The sequence below is a fragment of the Homo sapiens genome, chromosome 12 (assembly GCF_000001405.40).
Source record: "Homo sapiens chromosome 12, GRCh38.p14 Primary Assembly".
Classification (NCBI taxonomy): Eukaryota; Metazoa; Chordata; class Mammalia; order Primates; family Hominidae; genus Homo; species Homo sapiens.
Genome location: NC_000012.12, coordinates 8,939,234 through 8,953,775, shown reverse-complemented (window position 1 = coordinate 8,953,775; position 14,542 = coordinate 8,939,234). Strand labels below are relative to the sequence as shown.

Sequence of the window (14,542 nt, the reverse complement as noted above, 5' to 3'; positions counted from 1 at the left end):
GATCATCTTTTACTAGAAAATAATTCTTTAAATTTTTCCTGTTAAAATCGCCAATATGATATCTGTTTCTGAATGGACCCTGATTGATATAAAAACGTATCACTTCCCTTGCATTTCTATCCAAAAAAAATGCAAACTTAAATATAATCATGAGGAAATGATAGCCGCAGGAGGCAGACAAATGCCTAGGCAGATCCCCAGTGAAACCCCATCTCCAAGCTGAAGACAGTTTAAAGCCTGAAAGCCAAGCTACAAGTCAAATCCATGGACCGGATTAAAAACCTGTCTTCCCATTTGGCACATTTTTCTTTGATTGATCCCCACCTTTCACCCATTTTATATACACCTACCCTTTCCTAATTGGTTTTCTACACTGTCGTGCCCACCTTTGAGTGGTGTCTTCACTTTAACTGTTTTTGCATACTCACAAACCAATCAGCACACACTTTCCATTCTGAATCCATAAATGCCCAGACCTAGCCACATTGGGTGAGAAACCACCTGACTGCAGGGGTGGGGGACCACCTCCACCTACCACATCCCCTCTCCGCTGAGAGCTGTTCCATCGCTCAATAAAATTCTTCTCCATCCTTCTCATCCTTCAAATTGTCAGCATATCCTCATTCTTCTTGGATGTGGGACAAGAGTTCAGGAACCACCGAATGCAGATACAAACTATAACACAGGCAGCAGGTCAAGTGAGGCCTGGGGGTTTTGCGGGGGGGGGGTGTCACTAGCTATGGACGGGTCCCTGGTTGGCAAAGTGACCGAGAAAAATCCTACATCAGATATATCAAACAAAACCAAAATGAAAGACATTCTACAAAACAAGTGGCCAGTACCTATCAAAATTTCAAAGTCAAGTAAGATCAATGACAACTAATTACAATGTGTGACTCTGGCTTGGCTCCTGTGATTGTTGGGAAATCGGAAGTAACTATACATAGCATCTATTGAAACGTGATAAAATTTTGAATACAGACTATGGATTTGGTAATATTGTATTAATACTGTAGTTCCTGATTTTGATGAGAGGATGTCCTTGTTTCTAGGAAATACACACTGATATATTTAATGGTAATGGAAGTTTACTCTCAACCTGTTCAAAATAAACTAATGTATATGGAGGGGAAAAAGATGAATTTAGGTAAAATGTGTACCAGAGTTCTTTGTATTATCCTTGCATCTTCTCTATAAATGATAAATATATTAAAATTGAAAGTTACCAAAAACTATATTTAGTCCTTGAAATATGGAAAACATGATCATTTTGAAAAGCATCTGAGCCGGGCTCAGTGGCTCACACCTGTAATCCCAGCATTTTGGGAGGCTGAGGCAGGCAGATTATTTGAGTTTAGGAGTTCAAGACAAGCCTGGGCAAAAATGTGAGACCCTGTCTCTACAAAAAATACAAAGATTAGCTGGGCATGGTGGCTTGCGCCTGTGGTCCCAGCTACTTGGGAAGCTGAGGTTCTAGGACTGTTAATTACCTTCCTCTCTTATGATTATACAGAACAGGAGGCATCCTTCCCATTTGATTTCAGACCAACAATCCTAGAACTGCTTTCTAAACAAGGTGAACAATTTACCTTGTGTGAGAGAAGGCAGTGTGGGTGTAGGTTTATTGTGGGGAGTGTGCTTGTTAATAATGAGGCTAAGAAAGGAGGCAGGCCAGAAATGCAAACAAACAAACAAAAAAAAATTCTGCTCATTTCAATTTTTGCCCCAGCAAGAACCTTGAGCTCAGTTCTCAGAGGTGAGAATTCTAACACAGAAAGCACCCAGAAAGGGCACTGAGGTCTGAGAAGCAAGGAAGTGACCCAGGTTGTTTGCCTCTGGTCGGAAAGGGAAACTACCCCTGCTTCCACTCTGACAGCAGACAAGTTAATCAACCTACTCAATTGCATTTTTGGCCCATTCCCCATTTCCAACATGAACAGTTCCTCCCCTCCAGCCCAATGCCACTCTAGGCAGTCACCAAGAGGTAAGATTTCTGAAATCAAAACTTGAATTAACCAACAAAGGAACATCAATTCTAGAACGGATTGTAACAGGGATTTTTGTCTTTTTTCTCTGCTGTATCCCCAAGATCTATATTATATATTCTGTGGTTTTGGCACATAGTAATTGCTCAGTAAAGCTGTGTTGAGTTACTTGATAAAAAATAAGTCAGTAGAAATAACTTAAATGCTCAACATTAATGTCATTGGTTAAGTAGCAATGCATAGAACTAAATATTATGCTATTAAAAAGTTTATTTGTAAAGTCAAGGATATGGAAAAATATTTGATACATACATATCTTTTTGAGATAGGTTCTCACTCTATCACCAAGGCTGGAGGGTAGTGGCAAGACCATAGCTCACTGCAGCCTCCAACTCCCAGGCTCAAGCAATCTTCCAGCCTCAGGCTCCCAAGCAGCTGGGACTACAGGTGTGCACCACCAAGCCCAGCTGATTTTTTTTTTTGAAAGAAGGGGTCTCACTATGTTGCCCAGGCTAGTCTTGAATTCCTGACCTCAAGTGATCCTTCTGCCCCGGAATCCCAAAGTGCTGGGATTACGGGCATGAGCCACAGTGTGGGACTGATACATTTTTGAAAAAAGGAAACAACATATATTCATGAAGGAAATACACACCCTCCTGGTGAGTTTATGTATGATTTTTGTTTTGTTGTTTTCTGTGTTATCTGATCACAAATTACTTTCATTTTCAGGAAGAAAAAAATTTAATTTTTTTTTTTATTGGGGCAACATCCAACCCAGATATGATTACTACCTAGCCTGAACTGAATGTATTACTAATAAACAAAGAAATGCAGAATGGCATACAGTCGGTAAAGCGTAGTGCTTGAGAGCATGGATTATGGAGACTATTTAAATACTGGCTCCATAACTTAATAGCTTGGGACCCACGGTGTTACTTAGCTTCTATCTGCTTTAATTTACTCATCTGTAAACTTGGGATAAGATACTTCCTCATAAGGTTGGTGTGAAGACCAAGTGAATTAACTATCGTTTAAAGCACTTACAAAAGTGCCGGGCACCACCGAGATATGCATCCGTTAGCTTTTATTATTATTAGACTCAAAACACTGTAGTAGTTCTAATGAGAGGGGTAAGAATCAAAAATCCAGGCACCTGCATAGAGCCAGAGAGGCACACATAGAAGCAACGTAAGAGTGGAAGCGGAATGAAAACATGCTAAAGCCAGGTACAAGCCACAAGCGAGGGTCCACAGGAAGAAATTGTTAATTCTGAAGAGAGTGAATGCACGAAGTTACAGGAAAAATAACATCTGAACAGAGTTTAAGAATGAGCAGGACTTCAACAAGTGGCTAGTAAGACATAAGGAACCTACAAAAGATCTTAGCAAAGGCGCAAAGATTACCATCGTATTGCTCGTTTCTTCCTACTTTGCAGAAGTAACCTCTGGCGAACAGAGGTGGTTGCAGAGCATGCTTATCAAGCAAAATACCACGAAGCAGTAAGGAACGACAGAGATAACAGTAACAATAATAATTCACCCCAAGGTACTCAACTGGAAAAAGGAAATACAGAGGAGAGGTGTCGTTAAGAAAGCCAGGACGCACATCACGGCCCCGTCGCTGCACTACTCTCGTCTAGGGGTCAACAGTGGAGTCGAGACTCGAAGCTTCCACGCGGCGGAACAGCGTCCCTCTCAGGCGGCGAACGGGCTAGGGAAGCGCCCGGAGGAGACCTAGCGTGAGAACTACAACTCCCGCGGAGCCCGAGGGCGAGCTGCCTGCGTAACTTCCGCTTCCGCCACCTGCCCCTCTCACCCTCTTCACTCGAACCCTACCCGGGAGCGGTCAGGCGCGTGACCCCGCGTGACCGGGGTGCGCGAGCCGAGAGGCCCTGGAAGCGGGACTCTGGGACCCCATTGAAAGAAAGGCAACCAGAAAAGGCGAAACGACAACCTCGATAGTGATTGGAGCTGATGGAACGAGGGCGGAGCTAAAGTCCCAGAATACTGGCCAATCAGAGTTTAAGATTATCAGGGAGCCCGGGAAGGGGAAAGGGGCGAAATGGTTCTATGGTCACATGCCGCGGGGTCTGGTGGGAGGAGCGGTTGCCCAGCGGCCTCTTGGCGCTTCCTGTTTCCGGTTCCCAGAGTGGGGCACAGCGAGGCGCTAGGGGGAACGCTGGCCTCTGAAACTAGCTCTGGGACCGGGGTCTGCGGCCGGCCCCTAGCTGGCCCCGTCTCCCATCCCCAGAAGGGTATTCACTGGGGATTCTGAGCTTTGGCTACTCCAGTTTCCCACGACACGTGAGTGTGAGGGGCGTGGAGGAGGAGGCGGGCTGGGTTGCGCTCACACTTAAGCGTCTGTGACAGGAGCCGGAATCGCATTCTCCCTTGACCATGGTTCTAGCCAAAGATCTGGCTGAGGAGCCCTAAGGGTAGAATGGAGGCGGAGGCATGAGAGCGGAGAGTCACGGAGTTCCGAAAGGTGTGAGGGAGAAAGGACTTCCAAGACCAGAGAGGGGATTTACGATATTTAGAAAGCAGGGAAAGGAAAATACCCCAAGTATGGAGTCCGTTGGAGGTGTTGGTGGATTTATTTGTAGGAGGAATTTTGGCCTGCATCACGGTGGGAGGTCAAGTGGCATCATTTGGAGAGGGTATGGCTACAAGCGCTTGGAAAGTCGGGACACTAGACAGAGCGAGAATTTCTGGCACCCTGGGAGAGCTTTGAGGGGGATGCGACTGTGGTGTGGATAAGAATGGCTGATGGACGGATTATCTTGTGTTCCTCGTTGTGGGGAGCTTCCGCTCTTGGGACATAGCCGCTACTTGTCTGAGGCTCCTTCTCTCTTGAGTTCTTTCAGCATTAGGCCTTTTAGCCAATTGAGGCTGCTTTTCTAAACATGTAGGCTGCTGGAGAAAAAGGGATAAGGACTGCTACATCAGAAAGGAGCCAGCGGGAAGACAGTAGAAATTCCACTGGTAAATGGCCATGGCTGTCTTAACAGATGGGGAAGTGAGTGCTACAGAGGCCCAGTGGTGTAAGCTGCTTCCCAGTTGCTGGCTTAGTCATTGGCCACCCTAATAAAGGATAATTTTTAGCATTGCCAAATAAAATAGATCTGTCGTTAGAGAATAAGAAAACTGAAAGATTTTTCAAGATCATAAAATCCTGCTCCTTATTTCCAAAGTATATAGACAAACTCTTGTACCTTGAGAATCTAATTGTAGCATATTAAAAGGGGGCTACTGGGCCCTTCCATTTCATTCTCTTCCTGATTGTTGCACCCCTATGTTTATAAGTTTTCCAGCAGTTATCTTTATGCCACGAATCGTCTAAATTGCCCCAGTAACTTCACACACATTTAATATCTGTGTAATGTACAGCAAGTAATTTAACAAGTAATTCTGTAAAGCATCAGTTTTCTCATCTGTGAAGTATGAAAAATTATACCTATTTTCTGGGTTGTGAAGATGAATGAACATAATCTAGGGAAAACATTTAGCGCATATGCCACTGAATTAAAGAGAAGCAGCTTAAATTTAAAGACAAGCCTTAAGCAGGAAAGAAGAATACAGTATAAATTTATTATCCTAACTTTTTGAATAATAAGCAAATGAAAGATAGTTCAACTCAGCTAATGGCTGAGGTGTTTAACCTTTCATCCCTTCCTAATTTTGTGAGATTCCTTGTTCTAATTTAGGAAAAGAAATCAACTGTCAGTTTTTAATTAGGTCCTGAGAGACTGGAAAGGAAAATGGCAGGCTAAGTCAGTCTAGAAGAAGGAGTCTCCTATTTCTTTTTAGTGAGTCAGCTGGTCAAGTTGTGTGTTGAGCAGTGGGTTAACTTAGGGAAGGTGGGAGTTGGAGGTCTGAGTTCTTTATTTCACCTCCTATTCAGTCAACTGTGTGAGGAATCACTTCCCCTTCACTTCTTAGTAGAAAAAAAAAAAAACCCACAGTTTTGGCTGTCTACTCTCATCTCCAAAAAATTGTTATGCACATAGTGGAAATATACATGTAGTTGTTCAACACAGACCATGAGCTCTGGAGCTAGACTCTCTGGCTCACTCCACTAGCTGTGTCTCAGTTTTCTTACTGGTAAAATAGCAACAATAATTGTATTTACTCATAAGGTTGTGAGGATTAATTAGTTAATTAATATATGTTAAGTGCTTTGAACAGCACCTGGCCCAAGGCAGTAGTCTGTTGTTTCCTGCTGTTGTGTGGTTTCAGTGCATTAAATGTGTTATGAGGGCCTTGGACCTCTTGGTTAGCTATGATTATTCTATGGAAACTACCATAATATTACAGTAGAGAATTGATGTTTGGGGTACAGGAAGTCAGGTAGACAATTTCCCGGGATTTTTTGCTTTAGTGGGGTGTGGGAAGTGGAAGGTCAGATGTTAGGTTGTTTAGGGGAATGGGGAAAGTGCATTCACGGCCAAGGTTGGAGCTTCCATTTTCCCATCTTCAAACTCATTAGTACCCATGAAAATTCTGCCTGTTTCAAGTTTTATATTTTAAAAATGAGGTGGAGTAAGTGGACCCGCATGAAAAAGAACTAGAGAACTTTAAAGAATATTCAAACCAAAGTCCAGACTTGCAGCGTTTTTTGTAAGTGAGAAAAGTTTAGAAGAGTTAAATCAGGAAATTGTCCGTGATACTCTTGGAATAAACAAGTAGCAATGGCCTGAGGGATCATTAACAGATACCAGAGTAAAGTGTTTTGCAAGGGTAAGTCAGTCTGTCCTGGGTATGAAGATGGATAAGAGAAAAGAAAATGTTAGGTTTTGGTGGGGTTTTTTTGCCAAAACCACAATGACCTTTGCACCAGTCTAGTAAGTTTGGGAAAGAGAGCTGTCTGTGTGTTTTCATTCCTAGAGCAGTACAAGCAGCAGGTGCATTGAATTTACTCAATTGTAAAGTGGCTTGGTGATCCCCAATTTGTTGTCATTGATTTGTAGTGTAAAAGACAACTGTACTTATGGGAAGTCTAGAAACCCTTGAGATTTGTGACCTGTAGAGGCCAAAGAGGTTTCAGAAGACTACATCAAGCCATCAAACAGTAAAGAGGCAAGGATGGCTCCACCCAAGCTGTCATCATTCTTTTTTAAGTTCTTTCATTTCCCTCTTCCCAACTTTGTAGTTTGTTCTGAAAGACTCACCTATACATTAGACTACAAGTTACATATAAATGAATTTTCTGCTGCAGATGCTCTTGTTACAGAGATATTAAAATGTACTATGTGTTGCATATGCCAGAGAATCTTGTACTTTCTGGATAATTAAAATACCATCGATTTATTACACATTCATACGCTTTATCTCTTTCCTCTCTCTCCTGATCCTACCTGCCCTCCCCAACACACACTCTCTCCCAAAGGATGTTCCCTTTCTACAGCTGCTGGAGGACTGGACTGCTACTACTACTCCTGGCTGTGGCAGTGAGAGAATCCTGGCAGACAGAAGAAAAAACTTGCGACTTGGTAGGAGAAAAGGGTAAAGAGTCAGAGAAAGAGTTGGCTCTAGTGAAGAGGCTGAAACCACTGTTTAATAAAAGGTAAATGAGAAGAACCTTAAAGAGCTTGAGAAAATATTTATGTTAAAGTCTTTTCTTCTTACTGATTTTATTTCATAATGTGCTCTCTTTTATGACATAGAGCAAATTCTCAGCCCAGTTTTTAGTTGCTGTGTGCAGTTTTCTCATCTTTCACAGAAGTGTAGCTATTTCCAAGACTGGATCCAAGAGACCAGCTTGTAGAAATTTAAGGATTATTTGACACCTACATATAATAGGACTTTAGAAATATCAGATAAACATATTTAGGCCGACACATGTCATTATAAGTGTCAGGAACCTTCAGATATATAAATCTGAAGTTGGTCCCTAAGAAACGAGACTATCCGATGAACATGGGCCCTTATTCATTGGAACATGGTTACTAACAGGCATTCTAAAAATAACTAGAATATTGAGCTATCAAGATAGCTCAAGTGTGTTTTAATAATTCATCATCAGCAATAAGGATGGTCTGTCAAGGTTATGAATATCTTAAAATTAAACAAATATTCACTCAGCCATGACCTCAAATAAATAAATCGAGCATGTTGTTTGTTTTGTTTTAATTAAGGAAAGGGATGCTGTTATTCCTGAGGCTGATAGCTAGTAACTCTCCTCTTCTTTCTTCCCACTTCTCTTTACAGCTTTGAGAGCACTGTGGGCCAGGGTTCAGACACATACATCTACATCTTCAGGGTGTGCCGGGAAGCTGGCAACCACACTTCTGGGGCAGGCCTGGTGCAAATCAACAAAAGTAATGGGAAGGAGACAGTGGTAGGGAGACTCAACGAGACTCACATCTTCAACGGAAGTAAGAAAACTCCCCTTCCTACCATCGATTGACTAACTGATCCCAAGTCAATCCCTCTGACAATCCTGTATGTCTTGGCCGTTTCTAGTGTCTTCAGCATATCATACGTGTGGTTCGGCACACCTGAGACTGTAATATACCACAGGATGCCTAATTCCACAGCTCCTCTGTAAGCCACAGCTCAGGACAGTTGTGCATTAAAATCAGTGAAAAACTTATGCAAAATGAAGACTCTAGCCAGAATTGTTTTGTTTTGTTTTGAGACGGAGTCTCTCTCTGTCACCCAGCCTGGAGTGCAGTGGCACAATCTCGGCTCACTGCAACCTCAGCCTCTTGGGTTCAAGCGATTCTCCAGCCTCAGCCTCCTGAGTAGCTGGGACTACAGGTGTGTGCCATCATGCCCAGCTAATTTTTGTATTTTTAGCAGAGACAGGGTTTCACAATGTTGGCCATGATGGTCTTGATCTTTGACCTCGTGATCTGCCCACCTTGGCCTCCCAAGGTGCTGGGATTACAGGCATGAACCACCGCGCCCAGCCAACTCTAGCCAGAATTCTGTAGCCTAGAGTCCTTTTATTCACCCAAATACTTTTAATGAGTTTCACACTAGACTTACAAATACCAACCACCACCACCACTTTTCATCAAATTAATCAAAGTTTACCAGTTAAATTTTAAGAGCTCAAACTTTTTTTTGCAAACTACTCAGTCTGCAAAACTTTACCCACTGATTTTTGTGCTATGGTGGTGATATTTCTTAAAAGTCATATTGCTGGAGAGGACCATGTAAGCACCTATGGTCCAATTCCCTCCCATACAGATAAATAAGTTATACAAGGTAGCTATTTACTCCTGGTAAATAATACAATAAAAAAGTAACAAAAGGGTTTGGGGCTGGGGATCATGTGACCAGGTTCTCCTCCTGTTTCCTAATCCTGTGACTGGAAAGTCGTATCACCTTTTGACCTTGTTTTCTCATATGCAAAACTAGGAGCAGAATCTTTACCTTATTCACCTCACAATTACTGAATCAAATGATATTTTGCAAAAGAACTGAACACAGTAAATACTAAAGAAGAGATATGCATTCCAATCTTAGATATCCACTCTGAATTTATCTGGGGCTAAGTTGAAATCTTAGATGGGCTTACCCCTGCTGCTCAGCAATTGTATGGAACCTCTTTTTTTGCTTTTAGAAGGTATTCAGAAAATGAATCAGTGTTAAGGTATGGATCATAATTGGTTTTGCATTGTCAGTTGCCTACCTTTAATGTTAAAAATTAAGATTATTCTTAAATGAATATCTGATTCTTGTCTTAAGGGAACACAAGTCTTTGTAAGCAAACAAGTTTAGCTTGGCATTTCTGGTATACCAAGTTCGTACTGATGAGGGTTGTTTAGTTATAACCAATTGCAATGAATTACGCAATTCCACTCTGCCATACCACCCAGATCTGCCTCTGCTTTTCCCCCACCCCATAGCTCCATTTTCCTTGTCCCTCCTCAGGTAATTGGATCATGCTGATCTATAAAGGGGGTGATGAATATGACAACCACTGTGGCAAGGAGCAGCGTCGTGCAGTGGTGATGATCTCCTGCAATCGACACACCCTAGCGGTGAGGCACCCTGTGTTGTATAAGCCGAGGGAGGAGACTGAAAGGACTGACCTGAGGTTGGGGAGAATATCCAGAGGGGACACGATACGTTGGGATGGACATTAGAAAACTAGGAGCTCAGTTTCTCTCTGTGTCAGACACGCATCTTCCATGGAAAATAGGCTGCTGAACCAGGAAGGAGCAGATGTTTTTTGGGTTTTTTATTTTGTTGGACAGGAGTCAAAACACTTAACCACCTGAATGTGTTATGCCATCTCATCATCAGGACAATTTTAACCCTGTGTCTGAGGAGCGTGGCAAAGTCCAAGATTGTTTCTACCTCTTTGAGATGGATAGCAGCCTGGCCTGTTCACCAGAGATCTCCCACCTCAGTGTGGGTTCCATCTTACTTGTCACGTGAGTATGCCTTCCTTTATCAGAACAGACCTTCCTTCCTTTTGTTTTTAAGGTCAGTAACTATATGGTGGTACATAAGCACAAATTGTATGTGTACATTATGCTGTAATTGATGGGGATAACTTTTTAAATCCTCTGGCTATAAAATAATTCTGCCAGGACACAGGGCTCACGCCTGTAATCCCAGCACTTTGGGAAGCCAAGGCAGATGGATCACCTAAGGTCAGGAGTTTGAGACCAACCTGACCAACATGATGAAACTCCGTCTCTACTAAAAATACAAAATTAGCCAGCACAGTGGCACATGCCTGTAATCCCAGCTACTTGGGAGGCTGAGGCAGTAGAATCACTTGAACCTGGGAGGTGGAGGTTGCAGTGAGCTGAGGTCGCACCACTGCACTCCAGCCTGGGCAACAAGGGCAAAACTCCGTCTAAAAAAAAAAAAAAAAAAAATTCTGACTGCAAGTTTTTGAAAAATGAGATTTAATGTTTAGTTGCCGGTATAGATTTGCATTTGGAGGTGCTTTTTTCCCCTACTGCAGGACTAGGCAATTTTTATATTATTTCATTAGATTATGAGAACTTCTAGAGAAATGGAATCATATACTTAATGGTGATTATTCTTGGCCATAGAATCACACGCTGTCACATTTTGTCTGGGCCTTTGCTTCTCTTGGACTGACAGCACTCTAACTGGTTTTCTAAGAGTTACCAGCCCCCTTTTTCATTTAGTATCACTACTCATTTTTCCTTTTCAGGGAATGTATCTTAGGAAACAGCTGACAATAAATGCAGAGGTTATCCTATCTGAGTTTTTACTATTTCCCAGTTCTTAAGTATAGATGTCTTTCTCTCTCTACAGGTTTGCATCACTGGTTGCTGTTTATGTTGTTGGGGGGTTCCTATACCAGCGACTGGTAGTGGGAGCCAAAGGAATGGAGCAGTTTCCCCACTTAGCCTTCTGGCAGGATCTTGGCAACCTGGTAGCAGTAAGTAACAGGGCAGCTGGTTGAATTTGTAGCCTGCAAACAAGGTTGGGTGACCAACCATCCTCGTTTGTTCACACTGAGGGGGTTCCTGGGACACAGGACATTGAGTGCTAAAACCACAAAAGTCCCAGCAAACAAGACAGTTGCCCTAGTACAGAGTAGTAAGTGGCACAGCATCCATTTCTGGCCTTGGTAAGACATTGCTGAAAGAGCAACACTGTTGACCAGATGGGCTCTTCTAAATCTGATTTAGCTTTTAAGAGGGCCTGGGTGGGAAGAAGGTGAGGCCTAATAAGAAGAAACTTTTTCTCCTGTTGCCCCAAATTGAATTTAGGCTGATTGTCAGATCTTTTAGGTTTTCTCATTATCCCTATAGAAAACCAATTCTTGCCACATTCCTAGACCATAAGTACACTTTCTCATATCCTAAAGTTAGATGCTGCGAATTATTTCCTTCTTTTTTTTCCCCCTACAGGATGGCTGTGACTTTGTCTGCCGTTCTAAACCTCGAAATGTGCCTGCAGCATATCGTGGTGTGGGGGATGACCAGCTGGGGGAGGAGTCAGAAGAAAGGGATGACCATTTATTACCAATGTAGATTGCACTTTATATGTCCAGCCTCTTCCTCAGTCCCCCAAACCAAAGCTACACAGCCAGATTTCTCAAGCAGTCTCAACTCCAGTCCCTCATCTCACCCTTACTATTGCTCTTGCTTTCCAGTTTGCTTTTGATTTGCATCTTCTCACTAGTAAAACTGCCTTCCCTTTGTTCCTTATTTTCTGTTTTTTCTCTAGAGAGGTACAGTTGTAAGTCAGAGTTAATATAATAGGGCCTGTGAAAACAGAGGCTTTTGCATTGTCTCTTGACATCAGAAGTTACAATAGGCATATGGGCAAAATGGTGTAGCAGGCTCACTGGCCGTTTGTTTTTTAAACACATTTTCACAAGTTTTTGAGACACTGGATTTCTTTAATTAAAAAAAAAATGCCAAGAAACATTATTTATACAGGGTTGATTGCTTTCATGTTGTTATTCTGTACCCTATAGTAGCCTCCATGAGAATCTGGTATTTCTTGCTGCTTGGAACTACTTTGCAGTGATTACTTGGTTGCAGTCCAAGTACTCTCGTTTAGTCTGAGCCTGGAGATGTTCTAGACTTGCTTCTCCCACCTCTGAGATTAGGACAGGAAAAATGTGAAATTTCCCAATTACAGGATTATACGGTACCATCACATCATTTGTGGAAATTGGGGTGACTGTATAGCTGGGATTGGGCTAAGGACTGTGGTCTTATCTGTCCACATACAGCCAAAATGCCTATCCAGAAATCCAGTTCGTTGGAAAGGAAAATTGGTACTCCTGTGCCACAGGGGTTCCAGAAAAGGGAAGTCACTTTACCTTGCGGTGGTGGGATCCTGATGTCTTTCATCCATTTGTAGTAAAAGCTGGTAAAGCTTTTCTTACTCCTGGTTCCCTACCAGTATTTCTAAACATGTCGCACTTTCTCCACAGGCATGTGGTTTTGACCTTTTTTTCAATCTTCTAGAAAGGGAACGGAAGCAGAAGTGGGACATCGAGGGCTCTGCTGTCCTCTGCGCTGGGTGTGGAATGCTGCTGCACCTGTCCCTTCTGCTGGCTCAGGGAAGTGTCTTCTTGCCCACATTTCTGTGGGGAAAGGTTTTTAATCCTCTGATGCTTCCATCTTCCTGTTTAGGCCATGTGCCCAGAAACCTGGACTGATCTTTCTTTAATAGTGAACCCCTGGGCCACTGAAGAGTAACATGGCTCCACTGGACACAAAAGAGGGATGGAATCAACAGGCAGGGGGCCTTTTATAAGCCTTAGGAAAAGAAAATGAAACTATTTCATCTTTGGACTTTTCAATACTATTGGAGTGATTTTTTTCTTTCTAAACAGGGAAAATAATGTTACAAAAGCATCTTTTTTGTTATTTGTTTGCATCCCTCCCCCACACCCTGGTGTTTTAAAATGAAGAAAAAAAACCATCACCTTTTGTACAAAAACTCTTAATGATTAAAAAACAAACAAAACATATTGGCCTTGTCATTTGTGTGAAAGTGGGCAAAGACTGGAATAGAGTAAGACAACTGAAACCAATTTTCATCCTTTTACTGAGGAAAAAAATATTTAATATTTTTGTTATATAAGGAATAGTGCCTAAGGCAGGTACTTATACTCCTGACCTCAGCCCCACACACTCTGGTTTTATAAAGCTATAGGACAGAGCAGAGATGGAACTGAAAAACAGGGTAGAAAATAACATAAATTGGAGGGGAACAGTGGGATGCAGAAAGAATGACAACAGCCACATGTGCCCCAGTCAAATACTTTTAGTCCCTGCAGCAGAAGATGCCAACCAAGTCTCTATACTGGCTGGGGATCCTGCCATGGATGCAGGAGAAAAAATTCAATCACAAGGGAGTAAGTGACAACAAAAAGAAAAAACTCTGAGCCACAGCTACACTGGGAGGGGGGAGGACCAGATTTTGCTACTTCTGTCACACAAGCTAGAAAAACCCTACCTCTCCCATTGGGCAGGCAACCTGACATTCCACCCAGTTCCTTGCCTTACCATACTATGTATTCCTCCTCTTGGAGAATTAAGACCTGGGCTAAATGCTCCACTCCAGGATAAGGCTGAGCAGTCCTAGTTCTCTAGACTGCCTCTTTTATAAAGATTGGATTAAGGTACGTGAAATGGTGAGAACTGTAAAGATTTTAAAAAATAAAGTAGAACCCAGAGAAAATGTCAAAGCTGCCGCCATGTAGCACCAGCAACCAATTCTTGCACTTCTCTTCCCTGTCTCAGTAATCCCCTACAGAAGGTTACATGATTGGAACAACTCTTTCTTCCCTGCAAAGTCTGCTGGTACCAGGTTATAACCTGGACAGTGGAGAGTGTCTGCCTTAGGCTGGTTTGTGCAAGAGGGCCACCTTAGGTCTCCTTGAGGACATTTATCTTGGCGCAGATCTTGAGGGCAGGGCCCAGCTTGATGTTCATGGCACTCATAAGATGTTCTTCTTTAAGTAATAAAAGGGCCTGTCCATCAATCTCCTGTGAGCGAAATTCCTCTGCAATCTCTTGGCAGCCTAGAAGAAATGGTGAGAACATGTAGGTAATGCCAGATGATAGGAGAAGGGAAGCTAAATGAAACTGAGGT

General features: G+C 42.6%; 3 protein-coding genes across 48 annotated transcripts in view, besides 4 other annotated features; 1 reads left to right on the top strand and 2 right to left on the bottom strand.

Annotated features, from left to right (window-relative positions):
- The window catches only part of KLRG1 (killer cell lectin like receptor G1), a 265,527-nt gene extending 261,795 nt beyond the window's left edge, over nucleotides 1-3,732 (bottom strand). For 4 of the 6 annotated variants that reach the window (NR_137426.2, NR_137427.2, NM_001329102.2 and 1 more), the window contains exon 1: nucleotides 3,540-3,732. Coding sequence is in view for 1 of the 6 variants with exons in the window: in XM_047428075.1 (XP_047284031.1) it covers nucleotides 536-566 (31 nt within the window). In the remaining 5 variants the exon portion in view is untranslated. Of the gene's footprint in view, nucleotides 1-535; nucleotides 676-3,539 lie in introns of all 6 variants that reach the window. The other 2 variants (XM_047428075.1, NM_001329103.2) reach the window with 2 other exon arrangements.
- Nucleotides 3,057-3,961: an enhancer, noted in NCBI's record as "H3K27ac hESC enhancer chr12:9102411-9103315 (GRCh37/hg19 assembly coordinates)". NCBI's record gives its function as "activates a minimal SCP1, AML or CMV promoter by ChIP-STARR-seq in naive H9 embryonic stem cells {active_cell/tissue: H9 hESC(naive)}" and the evidence as "EXISTENCE:reporter gene assay evidence [ECO:0000049][PMID:30033119]".
- Nucleotides 3,429-3,558: an enhancer, noted in NCBI's record as "active region_5938". NCBI's record gives its function as "activates an Ori minimal core promoter by ATAC-STARR-seq in GM12878 lymphoblastoid cells {active_cell/tissue: GM12878}" and the evidence as "EXISTENCE:reporter gene assay evidence [ECO:0000049][PMID:35858748]".
- Nucleotides 3,537-3,751: a silencer, noted in NCBI's record as "fragment chr12:9102621-9102835 (GRCh37/hg19 assembly coordinates)". NCBI's record gives its function as "represses an EF-1alpha promoter that drives an FKBP-Casp9 reporter gene in an ReSE screen in K562 erythroleukemia cells {active_cell/tissue: K562}" and the evidence as "EXISTENCE:reporter gene assay evidence [ECO:0000049][PMID:32094911]".
- Nucleotides 3,962-4,867: an enhancer, noted in NCBI's record as "H3K27ac hESC enhancer chr12:9101505-9102410 (GRCh37/hg19 assembly coordinates)". NCBI's record gives its function as "activates a minimal SCP1, AML or CMV promoter by ChIP-STARR-seq in naive H9 embryonic stem cells {active_cell/tissue: H9 hESC(naive)}" and the evidence as "EXISTENCE:reporter gene assay evidence [ECO:0000049][PMID:30033119]".
- M6PR (mannose-6-phosphate receptor, cation dependent) lies at nucleotides 4,131-13,415 on the top strand. 17 transcript variants are annotated; one of them, NM_001414323.1, is made up of 8 exons: nucleotides 4,131-4,288; nucleotides 6,952-7,060; nucleotides 7,389-7,547; nucleotides 8,192-8,358; nucleotides 9,866-9,975; nucleotides 10,241-10,371; nucleotides 11,234-11,360; nucleotides 11,836-13,415. In NM_001414323.1, exons 5-8 carry the CDS (start codon nucleotides 9,877-9,879, stop codon nucleotides 11,956-11,958), a joined length of 480 nt encoding a protein of 159 aa, NP_001401252.1. In that variant the 5' UTR covers nucleotides 4,131-4,288; nucleotides 6,952-7,060; nucleotides 7,389-7,547; nucleotides 8,192-8,358; nucleotides 9,866-9,876; the 3' UTR covers nucleotides 11,959-13,415. The 17 variants fall into 17 exon arrangements, 15 of the variants coding, with proteins under 15 accessions (NP_001401252.1, NP_001401249.1, NP_001401251.1 ...); NM_001414320.1 differs by having other exon boundaries at nucleotides 7,371-7,547; NM_001414322.1 differs by lacking the exon at nucleotides 6,952-7,060.
- The window catches only part of PHC1 (polyhomeotic homolog 1), a 27,625-nt gene continuing 25,391 nt past the window's right edge, over nucleotides 12,309-14,542 (bottom strand). For 24 of the 25 annotated variants that reach the window (NM_001413738.1, NM_001413748.1, NM_001413751.1 and 21 more), the window contains one exon: nucleotides 12,309-14,471. In NM_001413738.1, the coding sequence (NP_001400667.1) occupies nucleotides 14,317-14,471 (155 nt within the window). In that variant the 3' untranslated portion in view covers nucleotides 12,309-14,316. The remainder of the gene's footprint in view (nucleotides 14,472-14,542) is intronic. The other variant, NR_182209.1, reaches the window with a different exon arrangement.